The following is a 23,384-nucleotide window of genomic DNA, read 5'->3' on the forward strand; positions in this document are numbered from 1 at the left end:
TTTTATGGAGGAGATTGTGTAGAACTGTTATTCATTTTCATTTTTTCTTTTTAAAGATAGGTTCTTGCTTTGTCACCTAGGCTGAAGTGCAGTGGTGTGATCATAGCTCATTGCAGTCTCAACTTCCCAGCTTCAACTGATCCTCCCACCTCAGCCTCCTGAGTAGCTGGAACTACACATGTGTGTCACTAAGCCCAGCTAATTGTTGTATTTTTTGTAGAGGTGGGGTCTCATTATGTTGCCCAGACTGGTCTGGAGCTTCTGGGCTCAAGTGATCCACCCACCTTGGCCTTCCAAAGTGCTGGGATTACAGGCATGTGCCACCATTCCCAACCTATGTTAATTCTTTAAATGTTTGGTAGAATCTCCTTTTTGAGATGTCTTAAGTTATAAATTAAATTACCTTAATAATTATAAGGTTATACAAATAATCTATTTCTTATTTCATGAGTTTTCATACTTTGCAATTTTGAGGAATTGATCAACTTTACCTAAATTGTCAAATTTATCTGTGTAGAGTTGTTAATAGTGTTATTCCCTTATTATCTTTTTGATGTCTGCAGTGTCTGCAGCCATATTGTTTTATTCTTTTTTTTTGAGGTAGAGTTTCACTCTTGTCGCCCAGGCTGCAGTGCAGTGCTGTGATCTCTGCTCACTGCAACCTCCGCCTCCCGGGTTCAAGTGATTTTCCTGCCTCAGCCTCCCGAGTAGGTGGGATAACAGGCGTCCGCCACCATGACCAGCTAGTTTTTGTATTTTTTTAGTAGAGGCGGGGTTTTGTTATGTTGACCAGGCTGGTCTTGAACTCTTGACTGCAGGTGATCCACCCGCCTTGGCCTCCCAAAGTGCTGGGATTACAGGCATGAGCCACCACGCCAGGCCATTTTATTCTTAATATTAGTTATTTGTGTCTTCTTTTTTTCTTAGTTTATTAATTTTGTTGAACTTTTCAGCGCTCTTGTTTCTTCCATTTTTCTCTTCTGTTTCATTAATTTCTGTTCTTATTTTTCTTATTTCGTTTCTTCTGTTTGTTTTGGGTTTGTTTTGCTTTATTTCTTTTGTTTATTTCTGTCTGGGAACTGAGAGAAAATGTATATAACCTAGATTTCTGAGAACTTAGAGGCCTTGCTAAACTGTGATTTGGACAATGGCTAGGAGATAATGAGACATGGAGTTTGGTGGGGTTGGGGTATGGCATGGGTGGGTTCCAAAACAAAGAACTGCAAGTGTGAAGGCTCAGAGACAAGAGAGCCTGAGATCATTCTTTGAGGGGCAGACTTTGGGGGAAGCATTGAAAGGACCTCAGTGTGATTGAGGCATTGAATTCAAGGGGTGAAATGACAAAATGTGAGAATAACATGGAAGGTTGATGTAGAGAAAGGAGTCGCAGGCTGGGTGCAGTGGCTCACACCTGTAATCCCAGCACTTTGGGAGGCCTAGGTGGGGGGATCACCTGAGGTCAGGAGTTTGAGACCAGCCTGGCCAACATGGTGAAACCCTGTCTCTACAAAAAAAATACAAAAATTAGCCAGATGTGGTGGTGCACCCCTATAATCCCAGCTATTTGGGAGGCTGAGGCATAAGAATTGCTTGAACTCGGGAGGCAGAGGCTGCAGTGAGTCAAGATCATGCCATTGCACTCTAGCCTGGGCGACAGAGTGAGACTCTATTTCAAAAAAAAGAAAGGAGTAGTTGAGAATCCAGGAGAATCTACTCAATTGGTAACTGGCTATGTAATTCTGGAAGTTCACTGTACTTCTTTGGGTCTTGATTTCCCTCTCCATAAATGAAAGAGACAGTCAAGTGATGTCAGAGCTTACATCAGCTCATATCCTGTAAATGCTAAGTTCAAGAGGTTCCTCTAACAAATGGCTTCTGTTTGTGGGGTGGAATGGGTTAATACCATTCTTGCCTAAGAGTCTTTGCATAAGCTCTGGAGGCTTGGCCTGCATTTTTTTTCCTCTCAGGGAAGTTTATCCCAGATCCTCTATAGCACATTTTATTCTGTTACCACACATCGTGCTAATGTTACAAAGGCAATATTAATGTTTTACCACTGGTGCCAACATCAAATGCTCCTAAGTCATAAAAAAAAGAATTATCAAGTCAATTCCAATAAAGTGTATTTAAACAGAAGTAGTATTTCCTGATAGCTATTTCAGCAATGTAAATTGCATGAGGTCTTTGTGAATAAGTTAATGAAAAAAGCCTTCTTCCTGGGTTAAGTTCTGGAATTAAGTTTCAAGGTAGGGATAATACTGTTTAAAATAAATTTCTAGGGCTCATTAGTAGTCATTACCTATTAGTCATAGTTAATGTGAGTGGCAGAAATGGCAGATTTTCTGTTCTTTTTATTGCTTCTCAACTTTGCACAAGTGGCCATTCCATAAATAAAAGCATGCTTTCCGTCAAATTGTTATCAATGCCTATCTCATCTCCTCAGATAATTAGATTTACTCTTTGCATTTACCCCAAAACTTTGGTGACTTTGATCTTTAAGTATTTTTGAGAATTAATTTTAAAAATGCACGATAACTCTGTGTTTTCTAACCTTCAGCTTAGTTTTTCTCACAAACACTGTTGTATGAAACATTGTGTTAGCCTGATGCTTTGAATATGAATACCTGCAATTTTGCTAAATTCTCAGCGTGTTTGTTTTTTCTATAAAGGTGAAGCTTCTAATCCACTGTTAGCAATGTAGGGGTGTCTTTTGCTTTTCTAGGACTAGTGATGGATGGATTTCAATACTCCCTCGCTGTTGGTGACTGATGGAATGCACCCATTTGAATACCGCCTGGGTATAGGAGTCAAATATTTAGTTAAAGATTTTTAAAGATAGCTAATTAAAGGTAAATTTAAAAATTCTATAAATCTATTTGATTACATTGTTTTTTTATTATTATACTTTAAGTTTTAGGGTACATGTGCACAATGTGCAGGTTAGTTACATATGTATAAATGTGACATGCTGGTGCGCTGCACCCACTAACTCGTCATCTAGCATTAGGTATATCTCCTAATGCTATCCCTCCCCCCTCCCCCCACCCCACAACAGTCCTCAGAGTGTGATGTTCCCCTTCCTGTGTCCATGTGTTCTCATTGTTCAGTTCCCACCTATGAGTGAGAATATGCAGTGTTTGGTTTTTTGTTCTTGCGATAGTTTACTGAGAATGATGATTTCCAATTTCATCCATGTTCCTACAAAGGACATGAACTCATCATTTTTTATGGCTGCATAGTATTCCATGGTGTATATGTGCCACATTTTCTTAATCCAGTCTATCATTGTTGGACATTTGGGTTGGTTCCAAGTCTTTGCTATTGTGAATAGTGCCGCAATAAACATACGTGTGCATGTGTCTTTATAGCAGCATGATTTATAGTCCTTTGGATATATACCCAGTAATGCGATGGCTGAGTCAAATGGTATTTCTAGTTCTAGATCCCTGAGGAATCGCCACACTGCCTTCCACAATGGTTGAACTAGTTTACAGTCCCACCAACAGTGTAAAAGTGTTCCTATTTCTCCACATCCTCTGCAGCACTTGTTGTTTCCTGACTTTTTAATGATTGCCATTCTAACTGGTGTGAGATGATATCTCACTGTGGTTTTGATTTGCATTTCTCTGATGGCCAGTGATGGTGAGCATTTTTTCATGTGTTTTTTGGCTGTATAAATGTCTTCTTTTGAGAAGTGTGTGTTCATGTGCTTCGCCCACTTGTTGATGGGGTTGTTTGTTTTTTTCGTGTAAATTTGTTTGAGTTCATTGTAGATTCTGGATATTAGCCCTTTGTCAGATGAGTAGGTTGCGAAAATTTTCTCCCATTTTGTGGGTTGCCTGTTCACTCTGATGGTAGTTTCTTTTGCTGTGCAGAAGCTCTTGAGTTTAATTAGATCCCATTTGTCAATTTTGGCTTTTGTTGCCATTGCTTTTGGTGTTTTAGACATGAAGTCCTTGCCCATGCCTATGTCCTGAATGGTGATGCCTAGGTTTTCTTCTAGGGTTTTTATGGTTTTAGGTCTAACGTTTAAGTCTTTAATCCATCTTGAATTGATTTTTGTATAAGGTGTAAGGAAGGGATCCAGTTTCAGCTTTCTACATATGACTAGCCAGTTTTCCCAGCAGCATTTATTAAATAGGGAATCCTTTCCCCATTGCTTGTTTTTCTCAGGTTTGTCAGAGATCAGATGGTTGTAGATATGTGGCATTATTTCTGAGGGCTCTGTTCTGTTCCATTGGTCTATATCTCTGTTTTGGTACCAGTACCATGCTGTTTTGGTTACTGTAGCCTTGTAGTATAGTTTGAAGTCAGGTAGTGGGATGCCTCCAGCTTTATTCTTTTGGCTTAGGATTGACTTGGCGATGCACGCTCTTTTTTGGTTCCATATGAACTCGAAAGTAGTTTTTTCCAATTCTGTGAAGAAAGTCATTGGTAGCTTGATGGGGATGGCATTGAATCTATAAATTACCTTGGGCAGTATGGCCATTTTCACGATGTTGATTCTTCCTATCCATGAGCATGGAATGTTCTTCCATTTGTTTGTATCCTCTTTTATTTCATTGAGCAGTGGTTTGTAGTTCTCTTTGAAGAGGTTCTTCACGTCCCTTGTGAGTTGGATTGCTAGGTATTTTATTCTCTTTGAAGGCAATTGTGAATGGGAGTTCACTCATGATTTGGCTCTCTGTTTGTCTGTTATTGGTGTGTAAGAATGCTTGTGATTTTTGCACATTGATTTTGTATCCTGAGACTTTGCTGAAATTGCCTATCAGCTTAAGGAGATTTTGGACTGAGACAATGGGGTTTTATAGATATACAATCATGTCATCTGCAAACAGGGACAATTTGACTTCCTCTTTTCCTAATTGAATACCCTTTATTTCCTTCTCTTGCCTGATTGCCCTGGCCAGAACTTCCAACACTATGTTGAATAGGAGTGGTGAGAGAGGGCATCCCTGTCTTGTGCCAGTTTTCAAAGGGAATGCTTCCAGTTTTTGCCCATTCAGTATGATATTGGCTGTGGGTTTGTCATAGATAGCTCTTATTATTTTGAGATACATCCCATCAATACCTAATTTATTGAGAGTTTTTAGCATGAAGGAGTGTTGAATTTTGTCAAAGGCCTTCTGTGCATCTATTGAGATAATCATGTGGTTTTTGTCATTGGTTCGGTTTATATGCTGGATTATGTTTATTGATTTGTGTATGTTGAACCAGCCTTGCATCCCAGGGATGAAGCTCACTTGATCATGGTGGATAAGCTTTTTGATGTGCTGCTGGATTCGGTTTGCCAGTATTTTATTGAGGATTTTTGCATTGATGTTCATCAGGGATATTGGTCTAAAATTCTCTTTTTTGTTGTCTGTCTGCCAGGCTTTGGTTTCAGGATGATGCTGGCCTACTTTCTATACTATTTCTATATGGCTGTAACATTTAAAATTACTACCCGCCTGTAATCCCAGCACTTTGGGAGGCCAAGGCGGGCGGATCATGAGGAAAGGAGATCAAGACCATCCTGGCTAACATGGTGAAACCCCGTCTCTACTAAAAATACAAAAATTTATCCGAGCGTGGTGGCAGGTGCCTGTAGTCCCAGCTACTCAGGAGGCTGAGGCAGGAGAATGGCGAGAACCCAGGAGGCAGAGCTTGCAGTGAGCTGAGATCACGCTACTGCACTCCAGCACTACAGCCTGGGTGACAGAGCAAGGCTCCATCTCAAAAAAAAAAAAAAATTACTACCAACAGTGTGCAAAGATTCCTGTTTCTCTGTATCCTCACTAACACTTGTTATCTTTGGTTTTTCATAATTGTGACCTAATAGGTGTGCGTGATAGCTCATTGTGGTTTTGATTTTCATTTCCTTGATAATTAGTGATATTAAGAATTTTTTTCATATACATGTTGGCTGTTTGTATGTCTTCTTTGAAGGAATGTCTGTTCAGGTTCTTTGCCCATTTTTAAGTTGGTTTATTTGCTTTCTTGCTATTGAGCTGTTTGAGTTCCTTATACATTTTGGATGTTAACCCCTTAGGTGTACGGTTTGCAAATATTTTCTCCCATTCCATAGATTGTGTCTTCAGTCTGTCAATTGTTTTATTTTCTGGGCAGGAACTTTTCAGTTTGATATAATCCCATTTGTCTATTTTGCTTTTGTTGCCTGTGTTTTGGGGTCATATCCAGGGAATCATTTCCTAGACAAAAATTGTGGAGCTTCCCCTCTGTGTTTTTTTTCTAGTGGTTTTAGTAGTTTTACAAGTTTTAAGTCTTATGTTTATGTTTTTAATCCATTTTGAGTAGATTTTTGTGTGTGTGGTGTGGGATAAGAGTCCAATTTTATTCTTTTAAGTGTGGATATTCAATTTTCCCTACACTGTTTATTAAATAGATTATCTTTTCTGCATTGTACATTCTTGACACCCTTGTCAAAGTTCAGTTGATTATATATACAGAGTTTTATTTCTGGACTCTTTATTCTGTTCCATTGGTTTATATGTCTGTTTTTAAGCCAGTAACATTCTGTTATGATTTCTGTAGCTTTGTAATATGTTTCAAAATTAGGAAGTGTGATACCTCCAGTGTTGTCCTTTTTCAGTATTGCTTTACTATTTGTAGTCTTTTGTGCTTCTATATGAAATTTAGAATTTCTTTCTATTTAAAAAATCCAATTGGAATTTTGATAGAGATTGTATTGAATCTCTAGATCTCTTAGGGTAGTGTGGAGACCTTACCAATATTAATTCTTCCAATTCATGAACATGGGGTATCTTTCCATTTGTTTGTATCTTGTTTGTTTTTCTTCAGTGTTTTGTAGTGAATGGTGTTCAAATCTTCACCTCCTTAGTTAAGTTTATTTCTAGGTATTTGATTCTTTTTAGTGTCATAAATGGGAATAAATGGGATTATTTTCTAATTTCCTTTTTAGATAGTTCATTGTTAGTGTATATAAATGTGACTGATTTTTTTTAAATTATACTTTAAGTTCCGGGGTACATGTTCAGAACGTGCAAGTTTGTTACATAGGTATACACATGCCATGGTGGTTTGCTGCACCCATAAACCCATCATCTACATTAGGTGTTTCTCCTAATGCTATCCCTCCCCTAGCCTCCCCGCACATGACAGGCCTCAGTGTGTGATGTTCCCCTCCCTGTGTCTGTGTAGTTCTGATTGTTCAACTCCTGCTTATGAGTGAGAACATGCGGTGTTTGGTTTTCTGTTCTTGTGTTAGTTTGCTGAGAATGATGGTTTCCAGCACAATTCATGTCCCTGCAAAGGACATGAACTCATCCTTTTTTATGGCTGCATAGTATTCCATGGTGTATATGTGCCACATTTTCTTTATCCAGTCGGTCATTGGTGGACATTGGGTTAGTTCCAAGTCTTTGCTATTGTGAATAGAGTCACAATAAACATATGTGTGCATGTGTCTTTACAGTAGAATAATTTACAATCCTTTGGGTAGATACCTAGTAATGAAATTGCTGGATCAAATGGTATTTCTAGTTCTAGATCCTTGAGGAATTGCCACATTGACTTCCACAGTGGTTGAACTAATTTACACTCTCACCAACAGTGTAAAAGCGTTCCTATTTCTCCACATCCTCTCCAGCGTCTGTTGTTTCCTGACTTTTTGATATCGCTGTTCTAACTGGCATGAGATAGTATCTCATTGTGGTTTTGATTTGCACTTCTCTAATGACAAGAGATGAGCTTTTTTTCCTATGTTTGTTGGCTGCATAAATGTCTTCTTTTGAGAAGTGTCTGTCATATCCTTTGCCCACTTTTTAATGGTATTTTTTTCTTGTAAATTTAAATTTAAGTTCCTTGTAGATTCTGGATATTAGCCTGTTATCGAATGGATAGATTGCAAACATTTTCTCCCATTCTGTAGGTTGCCTGTTCACTCTGAAGATAGTGTCTTTTGCTGTGCAGAAACTCTTTAGTTTAATCAGATCCCATTTGTCAATTTTGGCTTTCGTTGCCCTTGCTTTTGGTGTTTTGGTCATGAAGTCTTTGCCCATGCCTGTGTCCTGAATGGTATTGCCTAGGTTTTCTTCTAGGGTTTTTATGGTTTTAGGTTTTACATTTAAGTCTTTAATCCATCTTGAGTTAACTTTTGTATAAGGTGTAAGTAAGGGATTCAGTTTCAGCTTTCTGCATATGGCTAGCCAGTTTTTTCAGCAGCATTTATTAAATAGGGAATCCTTTCCCATTGCTGTTTTTGTCAAAGATCAGATGGTTGTAGATGTGTGGTGTTATTCCTGAAGCCTCTGTTCTGTCCCATTGGTCTATATGTCTGTTTTGGTAGCAGTACCATGCTGTATTGATTACTGTAGCCTTGTAGTATAGTTTGAAGTCAGGTAGCATGATGCCTCCAGCTTTGTTCTGTTTGCTTAGGATTGTTTTGGCTATGTGGGCTCTTTTTTGGTTACATATGAAATTTAAAGTTGTTTTTTCCAATTCTGTGAAGAAAGTCAATGGTAGCTTGATGGGGATAGCATTGAGTTTATATATTACTTTGGGTAGTATGGCCACTTTCATAATATTGATTCTTCCTATCCATGAGCATGAAATATTTTTCCTTTTGTTTGTGTCCTCTCTTATTTCCTTGAGCAGTGGTGTGTAGTTCTACTTGAAGAATCTGTCATGTCCCTTGTAAGTTGCATTCCTCGGTATTTTATTCTCTTTGTAGCAATTTAAATGGGAGTTCACTCATGATTTGGCTCTCTGCTTGTCTATTGTTGATGTAGAGGAATGCTTGTGATTTTTGCACATTGACTTTGTATCCTGAGACTTTGCTGAAGTTGCTTAACTGCTTAAGGAGATTTTGGGCTGAGATAATGGGGTTTTCTGAATATACAATCATGTAATCTTCAAACAGAGGCAATTTGACTTCCTCTCTTCCTATTTGAATACCTTTATTTCTTTCTCTTGCCTGATTGTCCTGGCCAGAACTTCCAATACTATGTTGAATAGGAGTGGTGAGAGAGGGCATCCTTGTCTTGTGCTGGTTTTCAAAGGGAGTGCTTCCAGCTTTTGCCCATTCAGTATGATATTGGCTATGGGGTTTGTTATAAGTAGCTCTTATTATTTTGGGATATGTTCCATCAATATCTAGTTTATTGAGAGATTTTAGCATGAAGGGATGTTGAATTTTATTGAAGGTCTTTTTCTGCATCTATTGAGATAATCATGTGGTCCTTGTCACTGGTTCTGTTTATGTGATGGATTATGTCTATTGATTCGCATATGTTGAACCAGCCCTTGCATCCCAGGGATGAGGCCAACTTGATCATGGTTGATAAGCTTTTTGATGTGCTGCTGGGTTCAGTTTGCCAGTATTTTATTTAGGATTTTTGCACTGATGTTCATCAGGGATATTGGCTTGAAATTTTCTTTTTTTGTTGTGTCTCTGCCAGATTTTGGTATCAGGATGTTGCTCGTCTCAAAAAAATGAGTTAAGGAGAATTCCTTCTTTTTCTATTGTTTGGAATGGTTTCAGAAGCTCCTCTTTGTACCTCTGGTATAATTTGGCTGTGAATCCATCTGGTCCTGGACTTTTTTTGGTTGGTAGGCTATTAATTACTGCCTCAATTTCAGAACTTGTTATTGGTCTATTCAGGAATTTGACTTTTTCCTGGTTTAGTCTTGGGAGGTTGTATGTGTCCAGGAATTTATCCATTTCTTCTAGATTTTCTAGTTTATTTGCATAGAGGTGTTTATTGTATTCTCTGATGGTAGTTTGTATTTCTATGGGATCAGTGGTGATATCCCCTTTATCATTTTTTTATTACATCTATTTGATTCTTCTCTCTTTTCTCCTTTATTAGTCTAGCTAGTGGTCTATCTATTTTGTTAATCTTTTCAAAAAACCAACTCCTGGATTCATTGGTTTTTTGAAGGGTTTTTTTTTTTGTGTCTCTATCTCCTTCAGTTCTGCTTTGATCTTAGTTATTTCTTGTCTTCTGCTAGCTTTTGAGTTTGTTTGCTCTTGCTTCTCTAGTTCTTTTAATTGTGATGTTAGGGTGTTGATTTTAGATATTTCCTGTTTCCTCTTGTGGGCATTTGGTACTATAAATTTCCCTCTACACACTGCTTTAAATGTGCCTCAGAGATTCTGGTACATTGTATCTTTGTTGTCATTGGTTTCAAAGAACATCTTTATTTCTTCCTTCATTTTGTTATTTACCTAGTAGTCAATCAGGAGCAGGTTGTTCTGTTTCCATGTAGTTGTGCAGTTTTGATTGAGTTTCTTAACTCTGAGTTCTAATTTGTTTGCACTGTGGTCTGAAAGACTGTTTGTTATGATTCCCATTCTTTTGCATTTGCTGAGGAGTGTTTTACTTTCAATTTGTGGTTGATTTTAGAATAAGTGCTATGTGGGGCTAAGAATAATGTATATTTTGCTGATTTTGGATAGAGAGTTCTGTAGATGTCTATTAGGTCTGCTTGGTCCAGAGCTCAGTTCAAGTCCTGAACATCCTTGTTAATTTTCTGTCTCATTGATCTGTCTAATATTGACAGTGGGGTGTTAAAGTCTCCCACATTATTGTGTGGGTGTCTAAGTCTCTTTGTGGGTCTCTAAGAACTTGTTTTATGAATCTGGGTGTTCTTGTATTGGGAGCATATATATTTAGGATAGTTAGCTTTTCTTGTTACATTGATCCCTTTACCATTATGTAATGCCCTTCTTTGTCTTTTTTGATCTTTGTTTTCTTAAAGTCTGCCTTATCAGAAACTAGAATGGTAGCCTCTGCTTTTTTTTGCTTTCCATTGCTTGGTAAATATTTCTTTATCCCTTTATTTTGAGCCTATATGCATCTTTGCACATGAGATGGGTCTCCTGAATATAGCACACCAATGGGTCTTGACTCTTTATCTAATTTGCCAGTCTGTGTCTTTTAATTGGGAAATTTAGATCATTTACATTTAAGGTGAATATTGTTATGTGTGAATTTGATCCATCATCATGATGCTAGCTGGTTATTTTGTATATTAGTTGAAGTGGTTTCTTCATAGTGTCATTGGTCTTTACATTTTGGTGTGGTTTTGCAGTGGCTGGTACCAGTTTTTCCTTTCCATAGTTAGTGCTTTCATAGTACCTCTTGTAAGGCAGGTCTGGTGGTGACAAAATTCCTCAGCATTTTCTTGTCTGTAAAGGATTTTATTTCTCTTTTGCTTATGAAAGTTAATTTGGCTGGATATGAAATTGTGGGTTGAAAATACTTTTCTTCAAGTATTTTGAATATTGGCCCCTAATCTCATCTGACTTATAGGGTTTCTGCAGGGAGACCCACTGTTAGTCTGATGGGGTTCCCTTTCTAGGTAACCTGGCCTTTCTTTCTGGCTGCCCTTAACATTTTTTCCTTCATTTCAACCTTGGTGAATCTGATGATTGTGTGTCTTGGGGTTGCTCTTTTTAGGGAGACCCCCTGAAACTATTGCTACGCAATAAAAGATGAAATGCTCCTGATTATTGTAAATACAAAATTGCATGCAGGATTGTGTAAAGACAGTGCCAGGTTGGACTGCCAGAATGAGCCAACAGTGTGTGATGTGCTTCCCCCTGCAGAGAGCCTATGAATGGACGTGCAGTCAGGGAGGCTTCACATTACCAAGATTCCTATCCCAGAAAAGCAGATGTTCATAGCTCTGGGAATGGAATACAACCGTTGTGGAGAGCCTATAAATGGACACATGGGGGGTGCCTGTCCATATGGATAAGATAGGGCTATAAACACCCTCATCTTGCCATGGCTCTTCTAGGCCTCTTTAGGGTTAAGGCATACTCCCTTCTGAGAATTTCTGGTCTAACCAGTTGTCTAGCTTCACGTCCTGTTTCTATGGATTGTTTGTAACCAGCTTTTGCTGCAACTGTTACTGCTGATTAATATCTTGCTAATCATAGGTTACGGAAAGACTGTGTTTCTATTTTAAGGCTCTGTTAGAAATTACTGAAGCACACACTATATTGTAAATTCTTATCCCTGTATAGTGTACTTCAGCATACGGATGTTATGTTAAAGAACTACTTCATCCCCATGTGACCATCTCACCTCATAATCAAATGACCCTAAATCCCTCACTAACCTACCCCTGCCCTCACTAAACTTAATAATAAATTCTGGTATATCCAGTGCATTGTTGGCACCACGGGACCAGATGGCGGTGACCCCCTGGACCCAGCTTTCACTATCTTGTGTTTGTCTATTATTTCTCGACCTGCTAATCCACCTGGGAAGAAAGAGAGAGTCCCTGCATTGCGAGCTGCTGGCCAGATCCTTGAGGAGTATCTTTGTGGTGTTCTCTGTATTTCCTGAATTTGAAACTTGACCTCTCTTGCTGAGTTGGGGAAGTTCTCCTGGATTATCCTGAAGTGTGTTTTCCAACTTGGTTCTATTCTCCCTGTCACTTTCAGGTATACCAATCAATCATAGGTTTGGTCATTTCACATAGTCCCATAATTCTTGGAGGCTTTTTTCATTCCTTTCCATTCTTTTTTCTCTAATCTTGTCTTCATGGTTTATTTTAGTAAGTTGATCTTCAATTTCTGATATGTCATGAAACTTTAAAATTTTCTTTTCAATTTCTTCTTTGACTAAATGTTTGGTCAAGAGAATACTATTTAATTTTTACATATTTGTGAATTTTCCAGCTTTCTTTTATCATTAATTTTAAATTTCATTCCATTGTGGTCAGAAAAGATACTTGATATAATTTCAATCTTCTTAAATTTGTTAAATTCTGTTTCAAACCTAACATGTGATCTATCCTGGAGAACCATCAATGTTCCCTGGCAAAGAATGAGTATTCTGCTTCTCTGTTAGGTGAAGTGTTTTGTATATATCTGTTAGGATCATTTGATCTGTAGAATTGTTCAGTTCTGCTGTTTACTTATGGACTTTATGTCTGGATGGCCTATCCATTATAGAGAGTGGGATGTTTGATTCTACTACTGTTACTGTATTGTTGTCTATTTCTAGCTTCAAATATATCAATGTTAGTGTGCTCTGGTGTTGGGTGCATATATAGTTATAATTGTTACATATTCTACTATAGTGATCATTTTATCATTATATTATGTTCTTCTTTGACTATTTTTTTTTTTTAGATGGAGTTTCACTCTTGTTGCCCAGGCTGGAGTGCAGTGTTGTGATGTCGGGTCACTGAAACCTCTGCCTCCTGGGTTCAAGTGATTCTCCTGCCTCAGCCTCCTGAGTAGCTGGGATTACAGGCACCTGCCACCATGCCTGGCTATTTTTTATTTTTATTTTTAGTAGAGATGGGGTTTCGCCATGCTGGCCAGGCTGGTCTCAAACTCCTGATCTCAGGTCATCCACCTGCCTCTGCCTCCCAAAGTGCTGGGATTACAGGCATGAGTCACTGTGCCCAGCCCTTCTTTGACTCTTATAACAGATTTGAATCAAAGTCTATTTTGTCTTGCGTAAGTATAGCTACTCCTGCTCTATTCTGGTTACCATTTTCATAGAATATCTTTTTCTATACCTTTATTAATAGCCTATATGTATCTTTAAATGTAAAGTAAGCTTTCTTGTAGACAGCATGCAGTTGGGTCTTTTTTTTCTTTAAGAAACTATTGAGACACTCTTTGTCTAGAGCAAACGCAGTGAAGTAGTGATTTTAATCCACTTGCATTTAAGGTAATTATTGACAAGCAAGGATTTACTATAGCCATTTTATTAGTTGTTTGCTGTTAAACTTATCTTTCATCTGTGTTTTTATCTATTGTTGTTTTCCTTGTTTTTGGTGACATTTTATATTGATGTGCTGTGATTCCTTTCTCCTTTCTTCAGTGTAATTTATATATATATATATAGTGGTTACCTTGGGCTTACTTAAACTATCTTATTATAACAGTCTATTTTTAGTTGCTAACAATTAGTTTCATTGCATTTAAAGACTCTATACTTTAACTACCCCCATACACTTTTTGTTATTGGTATTATAATTTACATATATTCATACATGTATCTGTAACATACTTTTTGATTATAGTTATATTTAATATATTTGTGTTTAAACATTTTATTAGAATTAAAAGAGCTTTAACCAGGGCCGGTGCGGTGGCTCATGCCGGTAATTCCAGCACTTTGGGAATCTATTTTTTCTATTTTTCCTTCCAACCTCAGATGAACTACTTCTCCACTCCTAATCTTGGTCTCCACATCTGTTAAATGAGGAGAATGATCTATACCAGTTTTATGGGCCTGCTCAGCACTAATGCATTCCACTCCAGAATAAAATTTTGGAAAATGTGTTTATCTGTCTTTCCAACCACAACAAATTACTTCCATGTACTCTCTGCCGATTGACTTCTTAAAGCAAACTCCAGTATCAGATCCCTTCTGAATGGCTTCAGTGAGTTATTTGGGTCATTCCAGCTTTGGGAAGAATTCCAATAAATCATCAGCAAAATTCCACATGCCATGGGGGTAAAAAGCAACTTCTTTCCCTCCTTCCTGGCCTGGGTTTTTGGAAGTGACTCTCTCCACTCTGTCCGTGTGCATTCAGTAGGAATGCATTTGGATGGAAAGTATCCTGGGCTAGACCCTCATTCATTACCACACCCTCCCTTGGACTCTTGCACCAGTGCCCTTGCTGGTCTCCCCAACCCCAGGTTACTAGGAGTAGTTCACCAACTTTAGTATGTACAAGAATGACTCAGGGAGCAGACTTAAAGTGCATATTTTCAGGTTTCACCTTGGGCATTTCTGTTTCAGTAGGAAGACAGTAGCCCCAGGACCATACTTTGAGAAACACTGAACTACAGCACAGGGTGCTTGTAGGGAATGCACATTAAGGCCAGGGAGGACAGGGCCAAATCACTGGGGGCCTTCAATACCAGGATTAGTAATCAGGGTCTTGGACTTTCTGTGCTAAGTGATTAATGGAAAGGCAAGTTAGGCTCTATGGACTAGGGTAGAAGCAACATGAGAATTTTGGTCTGGTGGGAGCATTTACCTGGTGAGAAATTTTAAGGGAAGAAATGATGCACACCTTGTATTGGCCTAACTAATAGGGTGGTGCTATGGAAGGAAACTGGCAGACATTACAGAGAAAACCTGATTCATGTGCTCCATAGCGAAATCCTCAGGGCTTCTGGAGAATTCGTCAACTGAAATTGTTTTCTTTGACAGTACAAGTAAGCTTATTTAAAGACAGAACTAACCTCTTCTCTAGCTGCCTGCTAGTCAGTTTCCTTACCTTCCTACCAATGTGTGAACACTATTCAGTCTTCCCAGATTTTGTTTTCTGCAGAAATTCTTTCCTCTCTCACCTGTCTCTTATATAAGAGTCTTGTTTTTATTTTTGTTCCTTTACTCTTCTAACCAACAGACACCCTCAGAGGCAATTAAATCCTCTGTTTATAAAATAACTAAATGTCCTTAAGTCATTCTTTGCCAGTTTATTTCTGGAAGATCCATAGAAGTGTTGTTCACCTGGATCTATCATAGCAGATATATAATTGGATAGGGAAAGGGTTTCTGTAACATTCTTCATCAAGATATTTTAAAAACACTTAAGTATCTTCTCACAAATCAACATAATCCTACTAGTCAGAGATAGCCACTTCAACATTTGGAACAAAGACTCCCAGATTTATTTGTTTGTTTATTTATACATACCAAAACAAGATCATAACATATGTGTTGTTTTGCAAACTGCCTTAGATGCCTGGATTTGTTTTTAAACTTAACAATGTATTGTAGGTATGTTTCCATATCAACAAAGGGAGAGCTTTTTTCATCATTTAAAAAAGCTGTGTGGTATAACATTATATAGATAAATATTTATTTAGTTGATTGCAACTGTTGGAAATTTAGGTTGTTTCAAGTTTTTACTTTTATAAACCATGTTTACATGACTATCCTTAAACAAACATGTATGGAAAGTTCTTCATGCTCTGTCTCCTTCCTGCCTCTCTAGTCTCATTTATTGTACTTCCCCACCTGTTCTTTATATGCATATCATAATGAACTACAATTCCTTTTAGGTACCATGCATTCTCCTCCCTCTGAGCATTTGCACGTTATTCCATTTCCTCAGAATACTCTTCCTAATCTCTCACTGCCAGGCTAATCTTTACTCTACTTAGATCCTTTCCTCTGGGAAATTTGTTGGATTCTTTGAGTTACACTAGCTAATGGTGTAACTACATACTGCAGGAGAACCCTGACCTACCTAGGCGTCATTATAACTGAATATGTAGCCCAAAGTCTCTTCTTGCTTGTAACTCCATGAGAGCTGAGGATGGGGAGCACAGCATTTTTTTTCACTGCTGATCCCCCACATCTACAGCCATGCATGGCATATAGAAGGTTCTTGAAAGTATGTATTGAACAAAATGGAGACATTTATTAATTTGTTGTGTGCTTAGGATACATTGCCAGAAGAAAAGTTGCTGGGATAGGGAATGCTTAAGACTTTTGTTATGTTACATCAAATTGCCTCCAAATAGAAGCACAAGTTTCTCTACATCTTGGCATATATTGAGTGTTATTTTATGTTTTGCCAACCTGATATACAGAATTATTATCTCATTATTTGATTTACATTTCTTTTTTGGTGAATTACTATTAATGTCATTTTCCAATTTGTATTGGGGTATTTATCACATTTTTATTAATTTGTAAGGAATATTTATATATTAAGTTATTTACATATTACTATTTCTTTTTTTTTTGGAGATGGAGTCTTGCTGTCTCCCAGGCACAATGCCATTATTTCCTTTCAAGCCTTTTGTCTTCACCAAACTGTTATAATCATTACCTCATTTGGGGTTGGGAGATTGGGAAAAACTTAGCTCCTCTTATCCTGCTTTTTTTCTCATTTTTTTTTTATCTCTATCTTAGGTCATTTCCATTCTCAATTCTTCAGCTTTTGAAACACAAAAGCCAAGAGAAGAATTTCTTTTACCACTGTTTCAATTACAATATCCCTTCCTGAGATATGGGACTTAGAATAGCATAATTTGCTTAATGGGGGAAGGTCTAAGTCTCTTTGTAGGTCTCTAAGGACTTGCTTTATGAATCTGGGTGCTCCTGTATTGGGTGCATATATATTTAGGATAGTTAGGTCTTCTTGGTGAATTGATCCCTTTACCATTATGTAATGGCCTTCTTTGTCTCTTTTGATCTTTGTTGGTTTAAAGTCTGTTTTATCAGAGACTAGAATTGCAACCCCTGCTTTTTTTTTTTTTTTTTTTTTTTTGCTTTCCATTGCTTGGTAGATCTTCCTCCATCCCTTTATTTTGAGCCTATGTGTGTCTCTGCACGTGAGATGAGTCTCCTGAATACAGCACACTGATGGGTCTTGACTCTTTATCCAATTTGCAAGTCTGTGTCTTTTAATTGGTGCATTTAGCCCATTTACATTTAAGGTTAATATTGTTAGGTGTGAATCTGATCCTTTCATTTTGATGTTAGCTGGTTATTTTGCTCATTAGTTGATGCAGTTTCTTCCTAGCATCAGTGGTCTTTACAGTTTGGCATGTTTATACAATGGCTGGTACTGGTTGTTCCTTTCCATGTTTAGCTCTTTCTTCTGGAGGTCTTGTAAGGCAGGCCTGGTGGTGACAAAATCTCTCAGTATTTGTCTGTAAAGGATTTTATTTCTCCTTCACTTATGAAACTTAGTTTGACTGGATATGAAATTCTGGGTTGAAAATTCTTTCTTTAAGAATGTAGAATATTGGCCCCCACTCTCTTCTGGCTTGAAGAGTTTCTGCTGAGAGATCAGCTGTTAGTCTGATGGGCTTCCCTTCATAGGTAACCCGACCTTTCTCTCTGGCTGCCCTTAACATTTTTTCTTTCATTTCAACCTTGGTGAATCTTACAATTATGTGTCTAGGCATTCCTCTTCTCAAGGAGTATCTTTGTGGTGTCCTCTGTATTTCCTGAATTTGAATGTTGGCTTGCCTTGCTAGGTTGGGGAGGTTTTCCTGGATAATATCCTGAAGAGTGTTTTTCCAGTTTGGTTCCATTCTCCCCATCACTTTCAGGTATGCCAATCAAAAGTAGATTTGGTCTTTTCACATAGTCCCATATTTCTTGGAGGCTTTATTCATTTCTTTTTACTCTTTTTTCTCTAATCTTCTCTTCTCACTTCATTTCATTAATGTGATCTTCAATTGCTGATACCCTTTCTTCCACTTGATTGAATCAGTTACTGAAGCTTGTGCATGTATCACGTAGTTCTCGTGCCATGGTTTTCGGTTCCATCAGGTCATGTAAGCTCTTCTTTACACTGTTTATTCTAGTTAGCCATTCATCTAATCTTTTTTCAAGGTTTTTAGCTTACTTGCAATGGGTTTGAATTACCTCCTTTAGCTTGGAGAAGTTTGTTATTACCTACCTTCTGAAGCCTACTTTTGCCAACTCATCAAAGTCATTCTCTGTCCAGCTTTGTTCTGTTGCTGGCAAGGAACTGCGATCCTTTGGAGGAGAAGTGGCACCCTGGTTTTTAGAATTTTCAGCTTTTCTGCTCTGGTTTCTCCCCATCTTTGTGGTTTTTATCTACCTTTGGTCTTTGATGATGGTGACCTACAGATGTGGTTTTGGTGTGGATGTCCTTTTTGTTGATGTTGATGCTATTCCTTTCTGTTTGTTAGTTTTCCTTCTAATAGTCAGGTCCCTCAGATGCAGGTCTATTGGAATTTGCTGGAGGTCCACTCCAGACCCTGTTTGCCTGAATATCACCAGTGGAGACTGCAGAGCAGCAAATATTGCAGAACAGCAAATATTGCTGCCTGGTCCTTCTTCTGGAAGCTTCGTCTCAGAGGGGCATGTGGCTGTATGAGGTGTCAGTTGGCCCCTACTGGGAGGTGTCTCCCAGTTAGGCTACTGGGGCTCAGGGACCCACTTGAGGAGGCAGTCTGTCTGTTCTCAGAGCTCACACACAGTGCTGGGAGAACCACTGCTCTCTTCAGAGGTGTCAGACAGGGATGTTTATATCTGCAGAAGTTTCTGCTGCCTTTTGTTCAGCTATGCCCTTCCCCCAGAGATGGAGTCTACAGAGGCAGGTGGGCCTTGTTGAGCTGCAGTGGGCTCCAACCAGTTTGAGCTTCCAGGCTGCTTTGTTTACCCCCTCAAGCCTCAGCAATGGTGGATGGCCCTCCTGCAGCCAGGCTGCCACCTAGCAGTTCAATCTTGGACTGCTGCGCTAGCATTGAGCAAGGCTCCGTGGGTGTGGGACCCTCTGAGCCAGGCATGGAATATAATCTCCTGGTGTGCTGTTTGCTAAGACCATTGGAAAAGCACAGTATTTAGGTGGCAGTGTCCCGATTTTCCCAGTACAGTCTATCATGGCTTCCCTCAGCTAGGAAAGGGAAATCCCTGGACTGCTTGTGCTTCCTGGGTGAGGCGATGGCCCACCCTGCTTTGGCTTGCCCTCCATGGGCTACACCCACTGTTCAACCAGTCCCAATGTGGTGAACCAGGTATCTCAGTTGGAAATGCAGAAATCACCCATCTTCTGCGTCAATCATGCTGGGAGCTGCAGACCAGAGCTGTTCCTATTCCACCATCTTGGAATAGATCCCCTCATTTATCTTAGTTTTAAAAATTCTTCTTTTACTAAGCAAAGTGGACAGACTAAAAATGTAAATAAAATATATATAACTCACTTGAATATATGTATATAAATCTTTTTAATGAAACAGGATTTCCTTTTTTTTTGCCTTAAAAAGGAAAGGCTAAACCACTTAAATTTACCTTAATACAAACTCCCCCAGCCTTTAGAGGCTCAACTTGCATTTCTTCAATTGAAAGAGAACTGGCTGCCTGGCATGTGGTTGTCTGCAGATACAAGGAAAACGAAATGACATTATTTAACAATAACATTTATGTATTAGTTCATTCTTACAGTGCTATAAAGAAATACCTGAGACTGAGTAATTTATAAAGAAGAGAGGTTTAATTAGCTCACAGTTCTTCAGGCTGAATAGCAAGCATAGTGGCTTCTGCTTGGCTTCTGGAGAGGGCTCAGGGAACTTACAATCATGGTGGAGGCAAATAGGAAGCAGGAACATCTTACATGCCTGGAGTAGGAGGAAGGGAGTGAGGGGGGAGGTGATACAAACTTTTAAACAAACAGATCTCATGAGAACTCTGTCATGAGAGCAGCACCAAAGTGATGGTGCTAAACCACTGATGAAAGATCCACTCCTGTGAGCTAATCTCTTCTCATCAGGTCCTACCTCCAACACTGGAGATTACAATTCAACATGAGTTATGGGTAGGAACAAAAATCGAGACCATATTAATTTATCTTTTTTTCTGATTACACAAATGACTGTTACTTGTTATAATTTGTAAAAATGCAAAAAAAATCATTAAAAAAGATCACATGCAATTTCAGGTGCAAGCTGCTGAAATTTTAGCATATTTCCTTCCAGTCTTTCAGTGTAATTTTTATATAGTTGAGATGTCATACAAGCAATTTTATATTCTGCTTATTAAAAAATTTTTTTAATTTTAGCTTTTGTGAGTACATAGTAGGTGTATATTTTTATGAGAACATTAGCTGTTTTGTATAACCATGCAATGCATAATAATCAAATCATGTAAGTGGGGTATCCGTCTTCTAAAACATTTATCCTTTGTGTTGCAAGCTATGCATTTATACCTTTTTATTTATTTTAAAATGTGCAATCAAATTATTATTGACTATAGTCACCCTGTTGGGCTATCAAATACTAGGTCTTATTCTTTCTAACTACTTTTTTTGTACCGATTAACACTTGCCAGCTTCCCTCCCACCTCTGTACTCCCTTTGCCAGCCTCTGATAACCATCCTTCTATTCTCTTTCTCCATAAGTTCAATTGTTTTGATTTTCAGATTCCACAAATAAATGAGAACATGTAAAGTTTCTCTTTCTGTGCCTGGCTTATATCAGTTAGCATAAGGACCTCCAGTTCCATCCATGTTGCTGCAAATGACAGGATATCATTCCTTTTTTTATGGCTGAATAGTACTCCATTGTGTATAAGTACCATATTTTCTTTTTTCAGTCATCTGTTCATGGACACTTAGGTTGCCACCAAATTTTTGCTATTGTGAACAGTGCTGCAACAAACATGGGAGTGCAGATATTTCTTTGATTCACTCATTTCCTTTCTTTTGTGTATATACCCAGCAGTGGGATTGCTGGATTATGTGGTAGCTCTATTTTTGGTTTTTTGAGGAACCTCCAAATTGTTCTCTGTAGTGGTTGTACTAATTTACACTCCCATCAATAGTGTATGAAGTTTCCCTTTTTTCACATTCTTGCCAGCATTTGTTATTGCCTGTCTTTTGGATATAAGCCAACTTAACTGGGGTGATATAATATCTCATTGTAGCTTTGATTTGCCTTTCTTTGATGATCAATGATGTTGAGAACCTTTACATATGCCTGTTTACCATTTGTATATCTTCCTTTGAGAAATGTTTATTAAAATAGTTTGCCCATTTTTAAATTGGATAATTAGAGTTTTTTTCCTATAGGGTTGTTTGAGCTCCTTATATATTTTGGTTATTAATTCATTGTCAGATGGGTAGTTTGCAAATATTTTCTCCCATTCTGTGGGTTGTCTCTTCACTTTGTTGACTGTTTGTTTTACTATACAGAAGCTCTTGAACTTCATGTGATCTCATTTGTCCATGTTTGCTTTGGTTGTCTGTGCTTGTAGGGTATTAATAAGGAAATTTTTGCCCAGACCAATGTGCCAGAGAGTTTCCACAATGTTTTCTTTTAGTAGTTTAATAGTTTGAGGTCTTAGATTTAAGTCATTAATCCATTTTGATTTGATTTTTGTATATGATGAGAGACAGAGGTCAAGCTTCATTCTTCTGCTTATGGATATACAGTTATCCTAACACCATGTATTGAAGAGATCTTTTTTTATACTCTATTTTTTTGCTAATAACAGTCACCATTTATTGAACAGTTACCGTTTACTTGTTCATATGAATTTTCTCATGACTTTGAAATGCTTTCTAATCATAATTGTAAATGGCTACTTTTAGTACTCTATCTTTTTTTATTATACTTTAAGTTCTGGCATACATGTGCAGAACATGCAGGTTTGTTACATAGGTATACACGTTCCATGGTGGTTTGCTGCACCCATCAACCTGTCATCTACATTAAGTATTTCTCTTAATGCTATTCTTCCCCTTGCCCTTCACTCCCCAACGGGCCCTGGTGTGTGATGTTCCCCTCCCTTTGTCCATGTAGTTCTCATTCTTCAACTACCAATTATGAGTGAGAACATGTGGTGTTTGGTTTTCTGTTCCTGTGTTAGTTTGCTGAGAATGATGGTTTCCAGCTTCACACATGTCCCTGCAAAGGACGTGAACTCATTTTTTTATGGCTGCATAGTATTCCATGGTGTATATGTGCCACATTTTCTTTATCCCGTCTATCATTGATGGGCATTTGGGTTGGTTCCAAGTCTTTGCTATTGTGAATAGTACTGCAATAAACATATGTGTGAATGTGTCTTTATAGTAGAATGGTTTGTAATCCTTTGGATAGATACCCAGTAATGGGATTGCTGGCTGAAATGATATTTCTGGTCCTAGATCCTTGAGGGATTGCCACACGGTCTTCTGCAATGTTTGAACTAATTTACACTCCCACCAACAGCATAAAATCATTCCTATTTCTCCACATTCTCACCAGCATCTGTTGTTTGCTGACTTTTTAATGATTGCCATTCTAACTGGTGTGAGATGGTAATTTGCTGTGGTTTTGACTTGCATTTCTCTAATGACCAGTGATGATGAGCTTTTTTTCATGTTTTTTGGCTGCATAAATGTATTCTTTTGAGAAGTGTCTGTTCATATCCTTTGCCTACTTTTTGATGGGGTTGTTTGTTTTTTTTTCTTGTAAATTTGTTTAAGTTCCTTGTAGATTCTGAATATTAGACCTTTGTCAGATGGATAGATTGCAAAATTTTCTCCCATTCTGTAGGTTGCCTGTTCATTCTGATAATAGTTTCTTTGCTGTGAAGAAGCTCTTTAGTTTAATTAGATCCCATTAGTCAATGTTGGCTTTTGTTGCAATTGTTTTTGGTGTTTTAGTCATGAAGTCTTTGCCCATGCCTATGTCCTGAATGGTATTGCCTAGGTTTTCTTCTAAGGTTTTTATGGTTTTAGGTTTTACATTTAAGTATTAAATTCATCTCAAGTTAATTTTTGTATAAGGTGTAAGTAAGGGGTCCAGTTTCAGTTTTCTGCATATGGCTAGCCAGTTTTTTCAGCACCCTTTATTAAATAGGGAATCCTTTCCCCATTGCTTGTTTTTGTCAGGTTTGTTGATGATCAGATGGTTGTAGATGTGTGGTGTTATTTCTGAGGTCTCTTTTCTGTTCCATTGG

At 38.1% G+C, this 23,384-nt stretch overlaps 1 long non-coding RNA gene across 1 annotated transcript in view; it reads left to right on the forward strand.

Annotated features, from left to right (window-relative positions):
- Positions 1-23,384, forward strand: part of LOC100507053 (uncharacterized) — a 212,500-nt gene that overhangs the window by 131,335 nt on the left and 57,781 nt on the right. The window lies entirely within an intron of this gene.

This window comes from Homo sapiens, chromosome 4, assembly GCF_000001405.40.
Source record: "Homo sapiens chromosome 4, GRCh38.p14 Primary Assembly".
Taxonomy (NCBI): domain Eukaryota; kingdom Metazoa; phylum Chordata; class Mammalia; order Primates; family Hominidae; genus Homo; species Homo sapiens.